This window comes from Homo sapiens, chromosome 2, assembly GCF_000001405.40.
Source record: "Homo sapiens chromosome 2, GRCh38.p14 Primary Assembly".
Taxonomy (NCBI): domain Eukaryota; kingdom Metazoa; phylum Chordata; class Mammalia; order Primates; family Hominidae; genus Homo; species Homo sapiens.
The window spans coordinates 24,842,654-24,863,344 of NC_000002.12; the positions used below are offsets into that span (position 1 = coordinate 24,842,654).

The following is a 20,691-nucleotide window of genomic DNA, read 5'->3' on the forward strand; positions in this document are numbered from 1 at the left end:
TGCTCAGCATCCTCGTGCCACAAGAAGCGCAGCAGTCCTGCGTGGGCTGCTGCACCGTGAGCCCTCCCGGCAGGAGCCCTGCGGGGTCACCTCAGCCACCCGCCACGGCTGCACAGAGCCATCGCTCACAAAATTCTGCTTTGACCTGATCAAAGACTGACAGCAGACCAGGCACTACACGAGGCGCCAGCGACACAAAACCAGCAAGAACGTCCACCTCAGAGAGCGGAGGGTCTCACGGGGACACAGGTAACCATGCCCAGCACAGCGCAGCATGGCAAGTTCTGTGCCCAGAAAGGAGAGAGCAGAGGACGGCGCAAGAGAGAAGCAGGGGCCAAGGTCGGCCGGGGAGGAGGCATCAAGGAGGCCTTCCTGAAGGAGCCTTGGTCGAGCCCAAGACGCGACGCTGAGGGCACTCCTGTTGGAGGCAGCCGTGTACACAAACGCACAGACACACGCAAAGCGCACCAGGGTCCTTCAGGGATTTCTGTGGAGGTAAAAACAGAAACATGGCTTGAGAGCTGGGCATGGTTTAGATCAGGGTCAGCAAACCGTGGCCTGTGGGCCCAATCTGACTGCTGCTGTCTTTCTTCTTTTTATACAGGGTCTTGCTCTGTTGCCCAGGCTGGAGTGCAGTGGTGCAAACATGGCTCACAGTAGCCTCAACGTCCTGGACTCAAGTGATCCTCCCACCTCAACCTCTGGAGTAGCTGGGAGTACAGGCATGCATCACCACACCCAGCTAATTTTTACATTTTTTGTAGAAACAGGGTCTTGCCATGTTGCCCAAGCTGGTCTTGGACTCCTGCGCTCAAATCATCCTCTGTTTTCATAAAGTTTTCCTGGCACCCAGCCATGCTCATTTGTTGATATATTGTCTCTGGCTGTTTTAACACTCCAATGGCAGAGTGGGGTAGATGCGACAGAGACCGTATGGCCCACAGAGCCAAAGATATTTACTATGTGGCTCTTGTCAGAAGAGGTCTGTGGCTTGGGCGGTGCCGGTCTCTGGAACAGGGAACAGAGGAAGAGCGGCAGATATGAGGGCAAAGACAGGGTTTGGTTCTGAGGCGCTGTGGGGCCTCTGTGCGGGCACCTGCAGGCAGCGCTCAGGAGAGGCAGTGGGCTGAACCATCCGCCTGGAAGCCATGGGTTGGATAAGCAGTACGGAGAGAGAAAACCAGGGACAGAATGTGGTGCTGCGGAGGCGAAGCCAGGGACCAGAGGCTCAGCAGGGAGCTGGTCAAGAGGGGAGCACTGCCCCCATCCCTGAGGGGAGGAGGGTGATGATGGCGTCTGGTGAAGGATGGTGGGGGGCACTTGGGGGAGAATCCCAAGTTGAGGTTTTGCAAGATGGAAACTGTAAAAGGCCAAGGGGCATGAGAACTAGCTCATGGCAGGGACACAACTAAAGAAAGTGTGTCCAGCAAGGGGCCAAGATACAAATGAAACCGCAGCAGGCACAGGGGGAGGCCAGGGAACCGGAAGGCAGAGATGTGGCTGGAGGACAGGTGCCCGCTGACCTTCAGGGTGGAGTGCTTCCGGGTGGCCAGGCCCGTGTCGCCATGGGGTCGGCTGCTGAAAGGTGAGGAGTGCATGGGCGGGAACTCAGGACCCCCAGGAGCTCTGTGCCTAGGGTGCAGGTCCCAGGCATTACCACCCTGGGTCCTGGGTGGCCAGAAAACCAAGAACTAGTGGCTTGGTCCTCAGCACCTAGGGCCTGGCTGGATGGCTGTGGGTCCCAGGCCACAGGAGCAGGAGCCAGGGACCTTGCCTCCTGACAAGGCCTGGGCAGGGGGGCACCATGCAAGTGCTCTGACTCTGCTGAGTTCAGGGGTCCCTGAGGCCCGAGAGAGGCCAGCTCATCCTGCATGTCAGATGCACCTGCTTTGGGGCAGGAGGAGGTGAAGGCTCAACTCCACTCCTCTGGGTGGAGCTGCCAAGAGGTCCCCAGAGTCTGCTGTTGTACTTGGGCCCTCAGCACCTGGTAAACCAGAGGCCTCCCTTGTGAGAATCAGCTCTGCTACAGGTCCCCATCTTCTGCACTCTGTGGCTTCATGGGGAGAATTTATCACCTTTCTTGCAGGGAATCACACCATTAGGACAAGGTGAGCATGCCTGGCACTGGCCCCTGCCTGAAGCAGTAATAGTGGTTTTGCGCTTTGATATGGTTTGGCTGTGTCCCCACCCAAATCTCATTTGAATTGTATCTCCCAGAATTCCCACATGTTGTGGGAGGGACCCAGAGGGAGGTAATTGAATCACAGTGGCCGGTCTTTTCTGTGCTATTCTTGTGATAGTGAATAAATGTCACGAGATCTGATGGGTTTATCAGGAGTTTCTGCTTTTGCTTTTTGCTCATTTTCTCTTGCTGCCACCAGGTAAGAAGTGCCTTTCACCTCCCGCCATGATTCTGAGGCCTCCTCAGCCATGTGGAACTCTAAGTCCAATTAAACCTCTTTTTCTTCCCAGTCTCAGGTATGTCTTTATCAGCAGCGTGAAAACGGACTAATACAGTAAATTGGTACCAGTAGAGTGGCACATTGCTGAAAAGATACCCAAAAACGTGGAAGTGACTTTGGAACTGGGTAACAGGCAGAGGTCAGAACAGTTTGGAGGGCTCAGAAGAAGACAGGAAACTGTGGGGAAGTCTGGAACCTCCCAGAGACTTGTTAAATGGCTTTGACAAAAATGCTGTTAGTGATACGAACAATAAGGTCCAGGCTGAGGTGGTCTCAGATGGAGATAAGGAACTTGTTGGGAACTGGAGCAAAGGTGACTGTTATGTTTTAGCAAAGAGATTGGTGGCATTTTGCCCCTGCCCTAGAGATTTGTGGAACTTTGAACTTGAGAGATGATTTAGGGTATCTGATGGAAGAAATTTCTAAGCAGCAAAGCATTCAAGACGTGACTTGGGTGCTGTTAATGGCAATCAGTTTTAAAAAGGAAACAGCATAAAAATTTGGAAAATTTGCAGCCTGACTATGCGATAGAAAAGGAAATCCCATCTTCTGATAATTCAAGCTGGCTGCAGAAATTTGTGTAAGTAATGAAGAGCTGAAAGTTAATCACCAAGACAATAGGGAAAATGTCTCCAGGGCATGTCAGAGACCTTTGCGGCAGCCCCTCCCACCACAGGCCCTGAGGTGTAAGAGGAAAAAGTAGTTTCGTGGGCCAGGCCCAGGGTGCCCATGCTGTGTGCAGCCTAGGGACTTGGTGCCCTGTGTCCCAGCCGCTCCAGCCGTGGCCGAAAGGGCCAATGCAGAGCCTGGGCTGTGGCTTCAGAGGGTGCAAACCCCAAGCCTTGGCAGCTACCATGTGGTGGTAAGCCTGTGGGCACACAGAAGTCAAGAATTGAGGATTGGGGAACCTCTGCCTAGATTTCAGAAGATGTATGGTAATGCCTGGATGTCCAAGGAAAAGTGTGCTGCAAGGGCGGGGCCCTCATGGAGAACCCCTGCTAGGGCAGTGTGGAAGGGAAATGTGTAGTCGGAGCCACCACACAGAGTCCCTACTGGGCCACTGCCTAGTGGAGCTGTGAGAAGAGGGCCACTGTCCTCCAGACCCCAGAATGGTAGATCCACCGACACCTTGGCACCATGCACCTGGAAAAGCTGCAGACCCTCAAAGCCAGCCTATGAAAGCAGCTGTGAGGGAGGCTGTACCCTGCAAAGCCCCAGGGGCAGAGCTGCCCGAGACTATGGGAACCTGCCTCTTACATCAGCGTGACCTGGATGTGAGACCTGGAGTCAAAGGAGGTCATTTTGGAGCTTTAAAATTTAAGCTCCAAAGAAGCCCTGCTAGATTTCAGACTTGCATGGGGCCTGTAACCCCTTTGTTCTGGCCAATTTCTCCCATTTGGAATGGCTATACTTACTCAATACCTATATCCCCATGTATCTGGAAGTAACTAGTTTGCTTTTGATTTTTTTTTTTTTTTTTGAGACGAAGTCTCGCTCTTGTCCCCCAGGCTGGAATGCTGTAGTGCAATCTCAGCTCACTGCAACCTCTGCCTCCCCAGTTCAAGCAATTCTCCTGCTTCAGCCTCCTGAGTAGCTGGGATTACAGGTGCCTGCCCCCATGCCCGGCTAATTTTTGTATTTTTAGTAGAGACAAGGTTTCACCATGATGGCCAGGCTGGTCTTGAACTCCTGACCTCAGGTGATTCACTCGCCTCAGCCTCCCAAAGTCCTGGCATTACAGGTGTAAGCCATCATGTCTGGCCGCTTGCTTTTGATTTTACAGGCTCATAGGCAGAAGGGATTTGTCTCAGATGAGACTTTGGACTATGGATTTTTAGGTTAATGCTGAAATGAGTTAAGACTTTGGGGGGACTATTGGGAAGGTATGGTTGGTTTTGAAATGTGAGGACATGAGATTTGGAGGGGCCAGGAGTGGAATGATATGGTTTGGCTGTGTCCCCACCCAAATCTCAACTTGAATTCTATCTCCCAGAATTCTCACATGTTGTGGGAGGGACCCAGAGGGAGATCATTGAATCATGGGGGCCAGACTTTCATGTGCTATTCTCGTGATAGCAAATAAGTCTCACAAGGTCTGATGGGTTTATTAGGAGTTTCCGCTTTTGCTTCTCATTTCCTCTTGCTGCCAGCATGTAAGAAGTGCCTTTTACCTCCCACCATGATTCCGAGGCCTCCCCAGCCATGTGGAACTGTAAGTCCAATTAAACCTCTTTTTCTTCCCAATCTTGAGTATGTCTTTATCAGCAGCATGAATGTGGACTAAGACACTCTTATTCTTCCATTTCCACAGCAATATCTCTTCACTGTTAACCTCAAGCATGGCACTACAGCTCAGGAATGAGAAGGCAAAGTAATCCCAGTACGCCCTGCCCTGGCTCCACCGAAGCCTGGGAAGTGGCATCCAGTTCTCCCAGGGCCCTGCAGCCCAGGGATAGCAACTTAGGCAGCCTTGGTGCTTGGCAACTCCCCTCTCTCTGCCAGTCAAGTGTGGTGAGAGGATGCCCAATGCAAAGAAATGGGTGAAGTGCTGGGTGGGACAGGACCCGTCTCGGAACCTAACTAACCAGACATTGTGGAAAAAGCTCTGGGTTTGCAGAAAAGATGAGCCTCTAGGAAGGTTTTCAAGAAAAGCCAGAGATGGGGCCCCACCAGCTCTTGAGGGCAGCCTCTCAAGGCAGACAGCTGCTGGGAGTCCTGAGGGGCAGGCAGAGCTGAGGAGTCTGGAGGAGGCAGGTGGGAGGCAGCACCCACTGGGCTGGGGCTGGGTTTCTCTGGTCAGTAATCCCGGGGATCCCAGCCCGCACTGGAGTGTGCGGCCCTGGTGTGCTTGAGGCTCGCGGGGCAGGAGGAGGCAGCCGTCAGGATCATGAGTGCTGGCCTGGCTCAGCCCCCAGCCCTGCCTGCACTCACTGTGGCTATAAGGTGTTGGGAACAAGCCCCCCAAAATCTGGCCATAAACTGGCCCCAAAACTGGCCATAAACAAAATCTCTGCAGCACTGTGACATGTTCATGATGGCCATAACGCCCATGCTGGAAGGTTGTGGGTTTACAGAAATGAGGACAAGGAACACCTGGCCTGCCCAGGGTGGAAAACCCCTTAACGGCATTCTTAAGCCACAAACAATAGCATGAGCAATCTGTGCCTTAAGGACATGCTCCTGCTGCAGTTAACTAGCCCAACCTATTCCTTTAATTCGGCCCATCCCTTCGTTTCCCATAACGGATACTTTTAGTTAATTTAATATCTATAGAAACAATGCTAATGACTGGTTTGCTGTTAATAAATATGTGGGTAAATCTCTGTTCGGGGCTCTCAGCTCTGAAGGCTGTGAGACCCCTGATTTCCCACTTCACACCTCTATATTTCTGTGTGCGTGTCTTTAATTTCTCTAGCACCACTGGGTTAGGGTCTCCCCAGCCGAGCTGGTCTCGGCATAAGGCAGGATACTAAACCTCCCTGTGCCTTGGTTTCCTAGGCAGGAAAGCAGGAAGGACACAATTCATTGCCGGCAAGCACTTAGAACAGTGCCTGGCCCACAGGAAGCGCTCACCATAGTCCAGCTTTTCCTACAGTCACATGATAGAAAGTATGACTGAGTGACTGAGGGTGTGGAGACAGCAGGTGGCTCAAAAAGACAGGGCTTAATGTTCCTCTGGGCTTTGAAGTTGGCCAGAAGTTTTTAGGTTGAGTTCCAGTGAGATGTGCCAGGGTCAGCACAAACCCTCTGGGTCACTCAGCCTGGTCTCCTGAGCTCTGCTTACTGCAGGTGGGACAACAAAGGGATACAAGGAAGGGCCCTGCCTTCCATTTGAGTCTCAGCCCCCCCCGCCACGTGTGCATTCAGGGTGCTGCTTGGGTGAGGAGGGCGCAGATGTGTGAGGAGCATGGGGAGGCGTGGTCAGGTGTGTGGGCAGGGAGGGACGTGGAACGTGAGGTTTAAGAACGTCACAGCACCGTGCTGGCCTCCCTCCCAGCCTACATGCAGTGGCTCCTGCAGCCACAGCCCACACAGGCCTTTCCTGCCCTCCTGGGTCTACCTCAGAGTTCTGTCCCTTCAGAAAAGCCTCTTCAGGCTCTCTTGGAACCTTGGGGACCTGAGAGTCCAATCCAGTCCTGTGGGAGCTCCATGCCCCTGACCACAGTACTGGTTCTCCCTCCAGACACTGCTGAGCCTCCTCCCGGTATGGCTGGGGTCTCGGAGACTGTCTACCAATACAGAACAAAAGTAGCGGCAGAGGCACAAAACCAGGGCAGCCCTGGAGCCCAAAACAGGAGCCTCGGAAGGGCCACATGAGTGAAGCGGCCGTGAGCTTCTCTCTGGGGGTGGGACAGGGGGAATTTCCATTTTTTTCCCTTATATATTTCCATAACCTTTGCTAAGAGCACAAATATGTTCTGAAAGCAGAAAATCAAACTTAAATAACAAGAAAGGAGCTATGCTTATAAATTCAGGCTGCCAATTCCCTGTGTGGTTTGTGGAAACCTTATAGTCAGGCTCAAAAAGTGAAGCAGGCCAACAGTCTACCTGGAGTCATTCTGGTAACAAGACGAGTTTTAAACAAGACGTCAGTGCGTGCAGAAGAAAGGACACACGGAACCTGACAGAGGGGAAAGGAGGAGGGGGGTCTGGGAGACGAAGGCCCACGGAGGGAGGGGCCCTCCCCCTGCCACCCCCCAAGCCTCAGGGCCTCTGGCAACCGCCTCTGAATGTGTCTCCCAGGTGCCGGCCGGCTCCTCTCATTCAGTCCACCTTTGGCACGGTATCTGGATGTCCTCTAAGCTGTGCGACACCATTGCCCAGCACCCTCAGTGGTGGCACTGACCTGTCTTTCTAGTCCTGTCCCCCACTGCTCTCCTTGTGGCCCCTTAGGGTAGATGAGCTGGACTGTTTCCTCTTCTCGGTACCCCTCCCTGTCCTCTGCTTCTGGTGTCACTCTCTGTGGAACATTCCTCCCTCCCCACACCTTCGACACCCACCTCACATGTCACCTCTCCAGAGAGCCCCTGGCCCCTGCCCAGGGGTGTCTGTTCCTCCCTCCTCACTAACACCCACTTTGTTGGTGCCTCTCGATTGGTGCTGGCCTTGTTTGCCCTTAGAGTTCAGAGGTTCTAAACCCTTTCCTGGATCCTGGCCCCTTTCATGAGTGCGTGATGCTAGCTACGGACCTTCTAGAAAAATGCTCATACACACACAGAAGATCCCTGATTACCATTCCAGAGCCCTGGCTAAAGACTCCGACACCCCTTCATTTGTGTTCCTGGGGGAAGGAAGGAGGCTGGGATCCAGGTGAACTGGCAAATGGGTCCCACAGTGGGGGACAGGAGTGCAGGGGAGAGAGGCCACCCATAGCAGCCTAGGATTGCTCAGGGCCCCAGGGATGATCAATGTGGCTTGGTCTCCCCAGCGTGGAAGCAGAGCCTGCTCTTCCAAAGATAGCAGTTGCTATACGTTTCAAGAGTCACAAGAATGTTCCAAACCTTTGACCCATTAATAGCTCTTCTGAGAATTTATCCCCCCAAATCCAACAGAAGTAAAAAGATATACGTAGAAGGTGATCTGCATTGCAACTTGACTTAACCCTTGTGGAAAAAACTGTAAGTCGCCCAAATACCCAGCAAATGGCTAATTAAAATGACACATCCTCTGGATGGAAGATTCTACAACCTTAAGAATGACCATAATGAAACAACAGTATTGTTTATCATTGCAATAAAGTACAGAGAGAGAAGAGCGGGACAAAATTGTGTTCTGTGAAGCTGACGCTGGGATCTATGTGTGCATAGAAATAAAGGCAGAAGGCTATATGCAAAGAGAAAAGGCTCATTTAACTTGGACGACCGAATTAGGGAAAACCTGAAACGTTTTTCAAAGTTGCTATAGGGTGCTGGTGGTTGTTCTTTTTAAAAATACTTTTTAAACTGGAAATAAACATGGAACTTCCTGTTGCCTCCAGCTGTGATCCTATCCCTGACCTCGGCTTCTCTGGAAGGACCACAGTTTTCTTAGAAAGGGAACATCCCTCAAGGCCTTTGGGCTTGGCTCCAGACTTCCTAGTCAGCTTGGACATAACCTGAGGAGGGGGAACCTATGGCCAGGCACGAACCAAGGAGACACACAGCCAAAATGGGGGTGGGGGAAGGCAGTGGTCCTCCTAGGAAGCCAAAGACAGAACGGTCACCCTGGGCTGGCTTCGCTCTGTAGCTCTCATGAACCCAGCACCCACCAGGTGACAGACACCATCCACCCAGTCAAAATCATCCCTCTCCTTTGCTAAAACTTCTGCATCAACCCGGTATTATTTATGTGCAATATTGTCTCAAGTTTGCAGGTGACAAAGCCTAGGCACAGAGAGATGAAGTTGTCTGTTACACATCCCAAAGGGTTAGCGGTAGACCCTGAACCCAGGGCTCTGAGACCCCTGGAATGGGTGAGTTTTTGTGCTTTTCCCACCCCAGTTCTCTCATCTGCTTTAATGTTGTTCTGCTACAGATGTGAAGGTCCCCCCAGTGCCCAGGGGCATCGGTTAAAACCTTTCCAAAAGTCCCATAGACTGTTCTTTTAAATAAACATAGAAATGGATCCTTCTGCTCTTAAGGCTTAAAACTTCTACTTATCTGAGTTCCTTCCTCAGCAAAGGACCTTCAGGCCTCTCAAATGAAGTACTGAATAACTGAAACTCACCAACCAGGTCACCACATCCAGACAATGAGACTCAGGACCCCTCATTCCTATTGTCTCGCGCGTTGTTCCATTTCTTCCCTGCCGTGTAAACCCCGGATTTAGCAGGTCAGAGAGATGGATTGGAGACTGAGTCCCCATATCCTCTACCGCAGCACCCGATTAAAGCCGTATTCCTTGGCAATAATTGCTGTCACAGTGATTGGCTTTCTGTGCAAGCAGCAGGACCCAGACCGAAGCCCTGGTGTTTTGTAACATAGTAAGGCCCTGACAGTGCGGCTCTGGCTCTGGACACCCTCCCCAGGGCTCCATGCCACCTGGGCGTGGGAATCAGGCAGCCCCTTCCGGTGGGTCCTTCCTCACAGAAACGGCCCAGCGGCTGCCTCGGGGGGAACTTGCAACAGCCTCTGATGTGTCTCCCAGCACCCCGGTCCGCTCCTCCTCTGCAATCCACTGTCCCCACGGCATCTGATGTCCTCAAAGACGTCCTGTGGCTGCCATTGCCAGGCACCAGGCAGGGGTGGGGGGTACAGGGGCAGTGGTGGTGGCGGCTCCTAGAGTCCTCCCTGGGACCCACATTAAGCAGAGAAGAGGGAGCGGAGGAGGAGAGTGCTGCCTCCATGGCTCCCTCCCCACCCTGTGGCCTAAGGACACTGGTGGGTCACCCGGCCTCCCCGGCCTCACTGCCCTGTGCTACTCCTCACAGGCTGAGGAGAGGAGGGGCCCACGTGGCAAAGCCCGGCCTCAGAGCAGGCATGAGTGGCCACCGTGTACTCAGAAAGTACTCAACTGGGCTGAGCGTGAGAGGCCTGATGCCAGGACAGCCCCGGACCTCGACAGAGGCCTGCTGCTCCCCAACACCCCCAGCAGACGCCTGCCTGCCTCTCCACGGCCAGGAGCCGCTGCCCGAGGACCCGAGCTGCCAACGCCCGCGGAAACTTGGGTTGCCCTCGTCACTGCCACACAGAGTGGCCGAGCCGGTGCTGGGAGTGCAGCCCTGGTTCAGCCGAGCCCATCCCCAGGACTTCAGGCTGCCCTACCCAGAGTGTGGCTGGTGGGGCTGTGGACTCAGCATCACCCGTGCTCATCAGGGTGGGGAAGCCACGGACCGTGAGGCACACCTGTGCACCTGAGGTTTGAGAAGTCTCTCTTGAGGAACAAGATTTGAAGGAAAGGAACAGCTGGAGGGTGTGTGTGTGTGTGTGTGTGTGTGTGTGTGTGTGTGTGTGTGTGTGTGTGTGTGTGTGTGTAGGGGTGTTATTTGTACAACATTCTGGAAGAGTCTACCTACTAAAGGCACTGCCTCCAGCCATATCAAACTAGGAGGCAAAACCTGTAACCGAGGACTGGGGTATAAGGAAGCTGCAGAAAACAAGACCCTCAAAGCCAGTGCGATGTGTTTTGAGGTGGAAATGGCTGCGCGCCTCAGGACACGACGTATGGCGACCTTGCCCCCTTCCCAAAGCCCAAGGATGGCACAGGACCCCACTGTGAGGAGCTGCCGCAGGGGAAGGTGCAACAGGGCAGCGCCCAGGGGGCAGGGGTCACTTGGCAGCTTCCATATTCTTTGTATGTTTTCTTTTCCTGTAATCCTTTTTTATTGTTACAATTGTTTTATAGTGTGATTTTCAGATTGAAACGCGCCTCATCTTTTTTTTTTTTTTTTTTTTTTGAGATGGCATCGCTCTGTCACCCAGGCTGGAGTGCAATGGTGCGACCTCGGCTCACTGCAAGCTCCGCCTCCCAGGTTCAAGTGATTCTCCTGCCTCAGCCTCCCGAGTAGGTGGGACTGCAGGTGCACACCATCATGCCTGGCTAATTTTTATATGTTTAGTAGAGACGGGGTTTCACCATGTTGGCCAGCCTGGTGACCTCAGGTGATCTGCCCGAGATCCTGACCTCAGGTGATCTGCCTGCCTTGGCCTCCCAAATTGCTGAAATTACAGGCATGAGCCACCGTACCCGGCCAGTGAGCCTTATCTCTTGAAAGCTCCTGGCACTGGGCATTTCATCGCTATTCAATGCCCATCACTGAACATCATTATTCATACATACTGATTCATATATACTGAATCTGTATATACAATGACTATAGCCATTGAATGAGGATATACAATAATCAGTACACAATTGAATGGTGATATTCATCATGATGTGAATTCTTGTGATCCATTTCAGGCCCCTTTGGTGTTGTCTCTCCTTTATAAAAATTACTTGAGGACACAGAGGCCACTTCTCCCAGGACTGCACCTGTTCAGGCTGTGGTGTCTTGAAGCTGTGGCCTGTGGTGGCTTCACTCTTGGACTGTGACTTTCGGTAGGGGGTGGCAGGGTTCCAGAGAACCGGACTGTGGAAAAAGGACCCTTCCTTCACTTGAAGCTACTTTTTATCTGATGGCCTGGACTAAACAGAGGAGTATCTGTTGACGTAAGATAGTAATGACTAATCCCAAAGGTGGCTTTGCTGAAGAAACAAAGCATGTTTAAAATCAGAACATCTGTCAGAGGAGTGGCCATATCACCCAGGGGTTTTGGGGGGTACAGCAAAGCTCACTGATCTGGGGTTAGGCTGCAAAGGCCCCCATGCCCTGGGCAGGTACTTCACCCCGGGGGCTTGGTTCCTTATCTATAAAATGGGCATCTCTTAGGCCTCTTTGTTTAAAGTGTAAATCTTTCCAGAAGGAGAACTTCTCAGAAGATACAGAGGATGTATTTAGAAATGTGTGGCTGGCGTGTCACTGGGACAAGTGGCTCGTGGCTTTTGTTCTGCTGAAATCTGGTGCAACATACAGGATGAAATTCAAAAAGGATAGAGGTCATAGTCTGTACCTGAGACTCCCAAACCAAATGCAGGAGAACAGAATGGGAGAGACACAATGTACCAATGTTGCGGGGGTTAGAAGGGGGACACCTACCATTTGAGATGCTGTTAGATTTAAAATGAATTCCCAGCCTGGGCATGGTGGATCACGCCTGTAATCCCAGCACTTTGGGAGGCTGAGGTGGGCGGATCACTTAAGGTCAAGAGTTCAAGACCAGCCTGGGCCACATGGTGAAACCCCATCCCTACTAAAAATACAAAAATTAGCAGGGCTTCGTGGCGGGCACCTGTAATACCAGCTGCTCAGGAGGCTGAAACACGAGAATCGCTTGAACCCGGGAGAGAGAGGCTGCAGTGAACTGAGACTGCGCCACTGCACTCCAGCCTGGGTGACAGAGCGAGCCTCCATCCCGAAACAAATAAAAATAATAAAATAAAATGAATTCCCAGCATAAAGTAGCTGCCTGAACAAGCCCCTTGGCTCTGGGCTGTGTGACAGAAAAATAAAAAGGCCCCGGTCCAGCTTAACCAGGCTGTGTCCTTAGCCCCAGGTCCCCCCCACCCCCTTCTTCTTAGGAAGCTGTCTTTAAGTCTGAGGAAAGCTGCTATGTAGAAAAGGGACAAGACTTGCTTTGGAGGCCCCAAGAGAGAAAGCTAATGAGGAAAGGCTGCTGGGGAACAGAATGTTGCTTTCAGAGAAGGAAGAATTTTTAAAGAGTCAAACAGTTCAAAGAATGTGCTGCCCTGAGAGGTGGTGAACTCCCATTCCCAGAAACCGAGAGAGAAGACTGCGGGAAGAGCCGAGCAGGGGTGGAAGGCTGGACCGGAGGAGGGGGATGTGGCCAAACCCTGGGGGCCGAGGCCTGGGTGCCCAGATGTGGTTCTGCACAGAGAAGAAGGAGGGTAAAGTCTTCATTCTCCTCAGCCTTCAAGTCCTTGATGGTTATCCTAAAAATACAGCATGGTAATAAAAGTCAAGGCCCTGACCCTCTCTGGGAAAAGAATCAAAGTCCAGAGAAAAAACAACAAGCCCTGGAAGTTCCTAGTAGGTTTCCTGGGTAAAGCAAGAACCTGCCCAGATCCTGGGAAGAAGCACCCAGGCCTGCAGTGGGGTAGAGAGTTGAGAAGGGCCTGGGGCAAGATGCTGGGCCTCCTGGGCTGGGATCTCAGCTGAGAGCAGATGTGTTGAGCTTCTCACCCCAGGGCAATCTGTCGGCATGGCCTCCACAGGGCTCCGAGAAGGAACCACCCAAGCCCCCTTCTACTCAGGGATGACTCATGCCAGGCCTGGTTCGCACTGGCTCAGGACAGAGATAGAAGGGGGAGGCAGCCAGCACTGTTCCCAGGGGCCCGAGCTGTTACAGCTGAGGCTCTGATGAGGCATTCAGGAGTTAATTACAGCAAGGAGGCCAGGAGGGATTTGGATAAATGAGGTTGGCTGGTGAGAAGCTAAGTTTCTACAACATCCTTGTAAGAGGGAGACAGTTAGGTCGAGAGAGACCCATAGTGCTCAGGTGGCTGGGAATGAGTGTGAATGTGGAGAGTGTGTGTGTGTGTGTCCATGCGTTAGCGCTTGCACATGTACACACATGCAGCTGCATGTACGTGTCTACTGTCTACAGTGTCTGCATGAGGTATGTATATGAAGTCTGTTTGTCTGTAGGGTAGGTGTGTCCATGTGTGTTCATGTGTTCTAAGTGCCATGTGCTTGACAAATACATGTCACTGTAACCCATCACAGGCTGTGAGCATACCCACAGATGTTTCACAAACCAGTCTGTCTTGGTCCCGATTAATCCAGATTCTTAGAGTGTCCAGCCAATTTGGAAGCCAAAAAGTCACTGCACCCCACCAGGGCGTCCATCATGGCCTGACTACCTAAGCAGAGGGGGCTGTGGGAGGCAGGGAATGGAGAGAAGGACCAGGCCTAGTAACCTTGGGAGGCCAGAGCCCAAACAGCTCACCTCTCCCGGATGAGGGGACGAAGTACCACAATGTGTGAAATCTGGAAACTCCAATACTGCCGCCATTTAGACTAGGGGGCCCACGTGTGCTGCCCCTGCCCAAGAGATGTGTTCCCCACCTCAGTCACTCGAAGGACAGTCACTGGTCATCTATGCATGTCCCTGAGCTAAATGCTGGGAAGGTCAAAGGTAAACAGTACTCCAAAGAGCTTGGATGGGTGGGGCAATGGTCACACGTGGGAGAGACTGGTCTCCCAGGGCAGGAGTGCTTCACAGTCTTCAGCCAAATGCTGTAGGAACGTAGAGGAGGGAGGAGCTGCATAACTGTAAAAGTCAGCATATTTGGAAACAAGGCCTCCAGCATGAGAACAGGCACCAGACCAGTGTCCCCAGAGTCCCCAGATCAACAGGCCCCAAGAGAAGCAGGGCCACATTTAATCTCAGTGTTGGCGGGGCCAGACTAACAAGCCACCAGGCCATGTCATCTGGAACAGTGCGGAAATCACACAGACCCAGGGTCAGCCCAGAGCTCTTACCCTGCCAGAGCAGGAGAGGGGACACCGAACATGTGGGACTTCTGGTCACTGGCCTGGTCTCCTGTGCAGTCCCCAGAGACAGGGGCCACCGTGTAGGCCAAGGTGACTGCAGTCTCAGGAGACAGCCCACTGGGCCCAAAGATGGCCACGTGTGTGGTACCTGGAGCCCTCACCACGAATTATTTGGCAAAGAGCAGGTACTACTCCTTAGAGGTTTGAAGAGTTAACGAGCTGTCAACTAGGAGACCTGGCCCAAGGGGCAAGCCACCATCCTCTAGAACAGCGCTAATAGAACTTCCTGCAATCACAGAAATGTTCTGTATCTTTGCTGTCCAATATGGCAGCCACATTTAGCTACTGAGCACATGAAATGTGGCTAGTGCTACTGAAAGACTAACATTTTCTAATTAATTAAGTTTAATTTAAATAGCTACATATGACAAGTGGCTACCATACTGCTACCTATTGCAGCTCTAGAACACTGTAGTCACAAGTACTGTGCCAACTCTGATGGGCAGAGAGCAGCTGCCTCGAGCCCTGTGTTGAGAAGGATGCGGAGGGTTCGTATCTGTGACTGGCGGAAAGCAGACCCTTTGCATTCTCTCCTTGACCCAGATGCAGCAACTCAGTACCACCCTGGGCATAAAGGCCCAAGAAAATTATACCGACAAAATTTCCACCTTTACCCACGGCACTCCCTAAGCTCCGTCCTCTGCTTTCTCTCCACAGCCCTTCCCAGCTCCTGACATAGCACATACTCGTCTGTTTAATGTGTGTTGCCCACACTAGAATCTGTTCTGCTCACAACTGTATCCCCAGTGCCTAGAAAAGTCCTGAAATACTTGTGGTCTGAATTTTTTTTTTTTTTTTTTTTTTTTAAAGAGACAGGGTCCCGCTGTCTCCCAGGCTGGAGTGCTGAAGTGTAGTCACAGCTCACTGCACACTGATCTTGCTGGGCTCAGGTGATCCTCCCGCCTCAGCCTCCCAAGTAGCTGGGACTACAGGTGCGCACCACCACCATGCCTGGATTTTTTTTAAGTTTTTTTGTAGAGATAAGGTCTTGCCATGTCTGGTGTTGGACTCCTGGGCTCAAGAGGGGCTCAGTGACCCAGTTAGAATGTGAATGCAAGTCTTACTTGCAACCTTTGTTGACAGATCTTTCCATTTTCTAAGTGAGTCAAAAATCCAGGTTTTTATCCAGAATGTACAAATGTTTAAGTATTAGAAAATGTTAACACTCTGGGAAGGTCAAACAAAACAGATACCCACAGGCCAGCTGTGGTCCAAGGACTACCTAACTGATTCTTCCTGTTAATTAACAGATCTCCCAAATAGAGCCAGGAGGAAGTGCCAGCTGGTAAATGAGAGATCTCATTATTAAATGAAATAATCCAATGAAAACACCATCCAGGGCCTGGCACAAAATAAATGTTCAATAAAACTACACTCATTACTAACAAAACTTCATTCTTACAGCCAGATAAATATAAAATGCGCCACAACCCTGGCCACAATGCACAATTCTACAATTCTACAACTCTACAGTTCTCCAGCAATTCTACAACTGTTTGGAGAAAAATTCTGCTGGAGGATGTGGCAAAGGCTTAAGACCTGCCACAGCCCAGCAGAGCCCAGCTCAGAGGCCACACAGCCCATGCATGGGCCGTCAGCAGGACTGTCCTCACCAGCTCTGCTCAGGTCCACCCTGACACAGCCAACATCCTCCCACTGCCACCAGGAACCCACCACTGCTTTAGGACAACCTGTTTTCTATGGGTTCATCATCTGCATTATCTGAAATGTGGATTTGTTTTGCTAAGTCCTGGAATGTTGAAATGAAGAGCATTCTGTGACATCCAAGAGGTGAGAGTTGGAACCAACAGAAGGACCAGTGCCTACTTCGCATTATGGGGAACGCACCTGGCTTTTCTCACACTGAGAGGCATTCGAGGCTAAAAGAAAAACTAAAAATATTAGATATCTTTGTGGGTGGTTCTGTGAAGAAGATAGCGAGTACAATGCAAGGCTGATGCTGGGGGTGGGGACGTGTCTGTGTGTCTCCTGTGAAGCAGACAATGGATTTGACCCATTACATTAGACGCGGAGAATGCCATGATGCAGCCACGGTGCAACGAGCAAGACGCAGAGCAGCTATGGATCCACAGGCAGAGGCACAGCCCTCCCACTCGACACCAGCTTCGTCTCCTCTTCCCACTCTTAGTGGTCCCCCTGCCCCGACCTCACTGTTGCCAGGATAACAGTGGCATGGTGGGGCTTGGCACTAGAAGCCCAACCCCAGGCCAAGAGGCAACTGGCCTCTGGCTCTGACTCCCCTCTCCCCTACCAAGCGCCTATAAGAACAGGGCTCAGGGTTGATGACACCTTGTCCTAATAGCAAAAGGTCTTGGGGGAAACAGTGACCAGGCTTGGGCAAAGGTTACAGAGGAAGAACATTCAGAAAAGCAAGAGATACAATCCAAGCTTAGGAAATGGCAGCCTCCCAGTGTCCCAAGCTCCGGGGCTCCCAGGAGAGGGGCCTGACGCTTGTGGTCAATGGGCGGTTCTTCCCTGTAAGACCGGCATGAAGGAAAAACACCATCCCTAGTAACAGGTGACCCTGCACGTGGGTTAAAGCAGAAGGAGAGGTGGGGAGAGGCAGCTGTGTCTCTGTGCAGTCCCCCAAGACCTGAATGGAAACCCACCCAGCGTCCACCTCAGCTGTCTCCCCAGGATCCCAAGGGTGAAGATGGGGATGGCTTTCTACCCTAGACCCTGTGCAGTCTGCCCTGGGCTCTCCCTCTACGTGCCCTGGCTGCAGCATCCTCCTGTCTGAGGGTGGGCACTGTGGACAGTCCTCACCTCCGAGGGAGGACCAGGCACAGGGCCAGTTAACCACACAGGACGCGTGTGAAGGAAGCATAGGCCTGCCCCTGTCATCCCTCCATCTTCCCACATCCTCCGTCAACCATGTTCCGATCCCTGGGAAGTGATTCTGAGTATGATTCAGAGAGGCTCAGTTTTGTAGCTCCACCTGGCAGCAGGTGTGTGCTGAGTGGGTTTTCTGGGTGCCGCCTGTTGCCAGGTGGCGGCTGGGGTGCTTAGCAACCCTCAAGGTCCCCAACTAACCCCTGAAGTGTGGTCACATGGGAATAAAGACAAACAACTCCAGTTCTGTCCTCTGGGCCTCCTGCTCTACCCTCACATGCCCACAGAGCCGGGAGGCTGGACCAAGGTCAGCATGCACCCTGGCGGCCCCGCACCACAGGGAAGCGCCATGGCACTGCCTGCGAAGCCAGATATGTGTTCGGCAGAGGCAAAGAGGACGCTTCGCATGCCAGGGCTGCACCAAGAGCTCCAAATCCACAAGGCCTCAGGGCAGGGCAGGCTCCACTACCTCCCTGAAGGAGACTGGAGCCAGGGAGGTTAAAGCAGCAAAGCCACTGGAATCTGAGACCCTTGCCATTACCCAAATGCTCTGTTGCCTCAATGCACCCTTTGACATGTGGACATGCTCACCCCAGTGAGGAGGCAGAAAGGGATGCCTGTGCTTGAGGGACTGTGCCGCCTCACCCTCCTGGACCATGGCTGGCTGCCCACCCATCTGGGAGTTGACTGTCATTAGGAGGCTGGTCATCTTCATAACAGAAGGTACAACTTCCCAGGGGATGGCAAGAGAGAGAGCGGGCTCAGGTCACCAGCGCATCCCTACACCTCACTTCACAGCAGAGGAGGAAGCTGAGGCCCAGCGAGGAGACACCTGCTGGGACAGCCACATGGCCAGGGCTGCCCTTCAGCCGCACACTCTTAAGGCAGCTTAGAAAACAAGATAAATAGCCGAGCATGGGGCTCACGACTGCAATCCCAGCACTTTGGGAGGCCAAGGCAGGCAGATCACTTGAGATCAGGAGTTTGAGACCAGCTTGGCCAACATGGTGAAACCCCGTCTGTACTAGAAATACAAAAATTAGCTGTGTGTGGTGGTGGGCACCTGTAGTCCCAGCTACACGGGAGGCTCAGGCAGGAGAATCGCTTGAACCTGGGAGGTGGAGGTTGTAGTGAGCCAAGATCGTGCCACTGCACTCCAGCCTGGGCGAAAGAGTGAGACTCCATCTCAAAAAAAAAAAAAAAAAAAGATAAGAGCACCTGACCAAATAAAAAGTGAGACATGGACCCTGGGCACTCAATTCTGGAAGGAGGCCCCTTTTTTGCAGAGGGTAGATTAACGATTGTTTTTATAGGAGACACTCATAATTTTTTTAAATGGAGAATTTTCTTAAAAAAGACATTAAGCACACATGTAAGTAAGGGATGGCCTGCTCTGACACTGACCTCAAATGGCTCTTTGGAGCCACTTCCAAACCAGGTTCTGTTTCCTCTCATACCAGGACTGTCTGCGGCCCTTTCCAAAGTGTTTTTCCATCTATTATCTCATTTTTATTCTCATGAGGAGCTTTTACAGGAGGAAAGTGAAACGGGGTCATGCAGCCTCTAGTACCGGCCTGCACTCAGCTCCGAAGACCCGTCAGCTGATGTTTCTGAAACGTCAAATCAGCCCAGAGCCCACGCCACTCCCAACGTCAGCCCCAATGCCTTGGGAGGGAGTGACCTCTGTCCTGGCTGGAAGAGAGAAGGGGAAGGATGCACAGGCCCCAGCCAGCTCCCATCCTACCTCACCACCCTGACTTCAGCCGGTGCCTCCCCAGGGGCTGGGGGCCAGCGTGACGGCATCTTGGAGCCCCAAAGGGCTTCATGGTTTTTAGACTCCCCTCTGCCTTATTTCATGTGATTCCCAAACTATCCCCTAACAATGGTATTATTTTTAATCCCATTTTCAGAAAATTAAACTAAAGACCAGAGAGGTAAAGTACCAACACCACACAGAGAAAGCCAGGGCTCACAGTCCCCCAAAAACGCTGGCAGAGGCTGTGGATGCAAATCCAGGTCCAAGATGACCAGCGGGGTCATCCCTCCCCAACCCCCAGTACAGACAGGTATCCACCACAAGGTGAGGCTGGAGCATAGGACTGTGGGACTGTGCTAGGGTCTGGGTCCCTTGTCCTCACGTGCAAGGCCTGTCCCAGGGCTCACCAGGTCCCTTTCTATCTGGTTTTAAAAATCAATCTCGGTAGCCGGGCGCGGTGGCTCACGCCTGTAATCCCAGCACTTTGGGAGGCTGAGGTGGGCGGATCACGAGGTCAGGAGATCGAGACCATCCTGGCTAACACGGTGAAACCCCGTCTCTACTAAAAATACAAAATATTTGCCGGGCATGGTGGCGGGCACCTGTAGTCCCAGCTACACGGGAGGCTGAGGCAGGAGAATGGCGTGAACCCGGAAGGCGGAGCTTGCAGTGAGCCGAGATCGTGCCACTGCACTCCAGCCTCGGGGACAGAGCGAGACTCCGCCTCAAAAAAAAAAAATTAATTAATTAAAAAAAATAAAAACAAATAAAAATCAAGCTCGGGTCCCAAGTTTTCTTTTGGGGGAAGATGTTGCGGAACTAGCTAGAGGTGGTGGTGGCACAACATGGTGAGTGTACTAAACCACTTTCAAGGGGTTTCATTTTAGCTCTATAAAAAAGAAAAAAAAATGAAGCAAACCTGAGTTTTTCTAACTGCATATCTAATTTATAATACCATATTCATTTTTAAAAATTATTTTTCAAAAAAAGTCCCAGATTAAGGGAGGTTTTGGTGGCCTCTTCTACTTTTCTATATCTTCAAAATTGTATCCAACAATCATATGATGGTAGAGAGTTTGAGTGTCTATGTGCAGGCACTGTGCAATAACTACTTAACACTTATCTCCCCTAAGGCCATAGGAGAGGGGCAGAGACTCTGGTACTTGGCTCTCAGCTGCTATACTATGTGAGAGGAAGGTGTTACATTTATAATCTCTTAATCAGGATAAAACATGGCTAGGACACTCTCAAATATCAGGACCAAAAAAAAGGCTTGAAGGAATATGCCTCTGTGATGGTTAATACTAAGTGTCAACTTGATTGGATTGAAGGATACAAAGTATTGATCCTGGGTGTGTCTGTGAGGGTGTTGCCAAAGGAGTTTAACATTTGAGTCGGTGGGCTGGGAAAGGCAGACCCACCCTAAATCTGGGTGGGCACAATCTAATCAGTGGCCAGTTTGCTAGAATATAAACAGGCAGAAAAAGGTGAAAAGAGAGACTGGCCTAGCCTCCATACAGCCTACA

At 51.8% G+C, this 20,691-nt stretch overlaps 1 protein-coding gene across 31 annotated transcripts in view; it reads right to left on the reverse strand.

Annotated features, from left to right (window-relative positions):
• ADCY3 (adenylate cyclase 3) overlaps positions 1 to 20,691 on the reverse strand; it is a 101,069-nt gene that overhangs the window by 23,485 nt on the left and 56,893 nt on the right. The window lies entirely within an intron of this gene.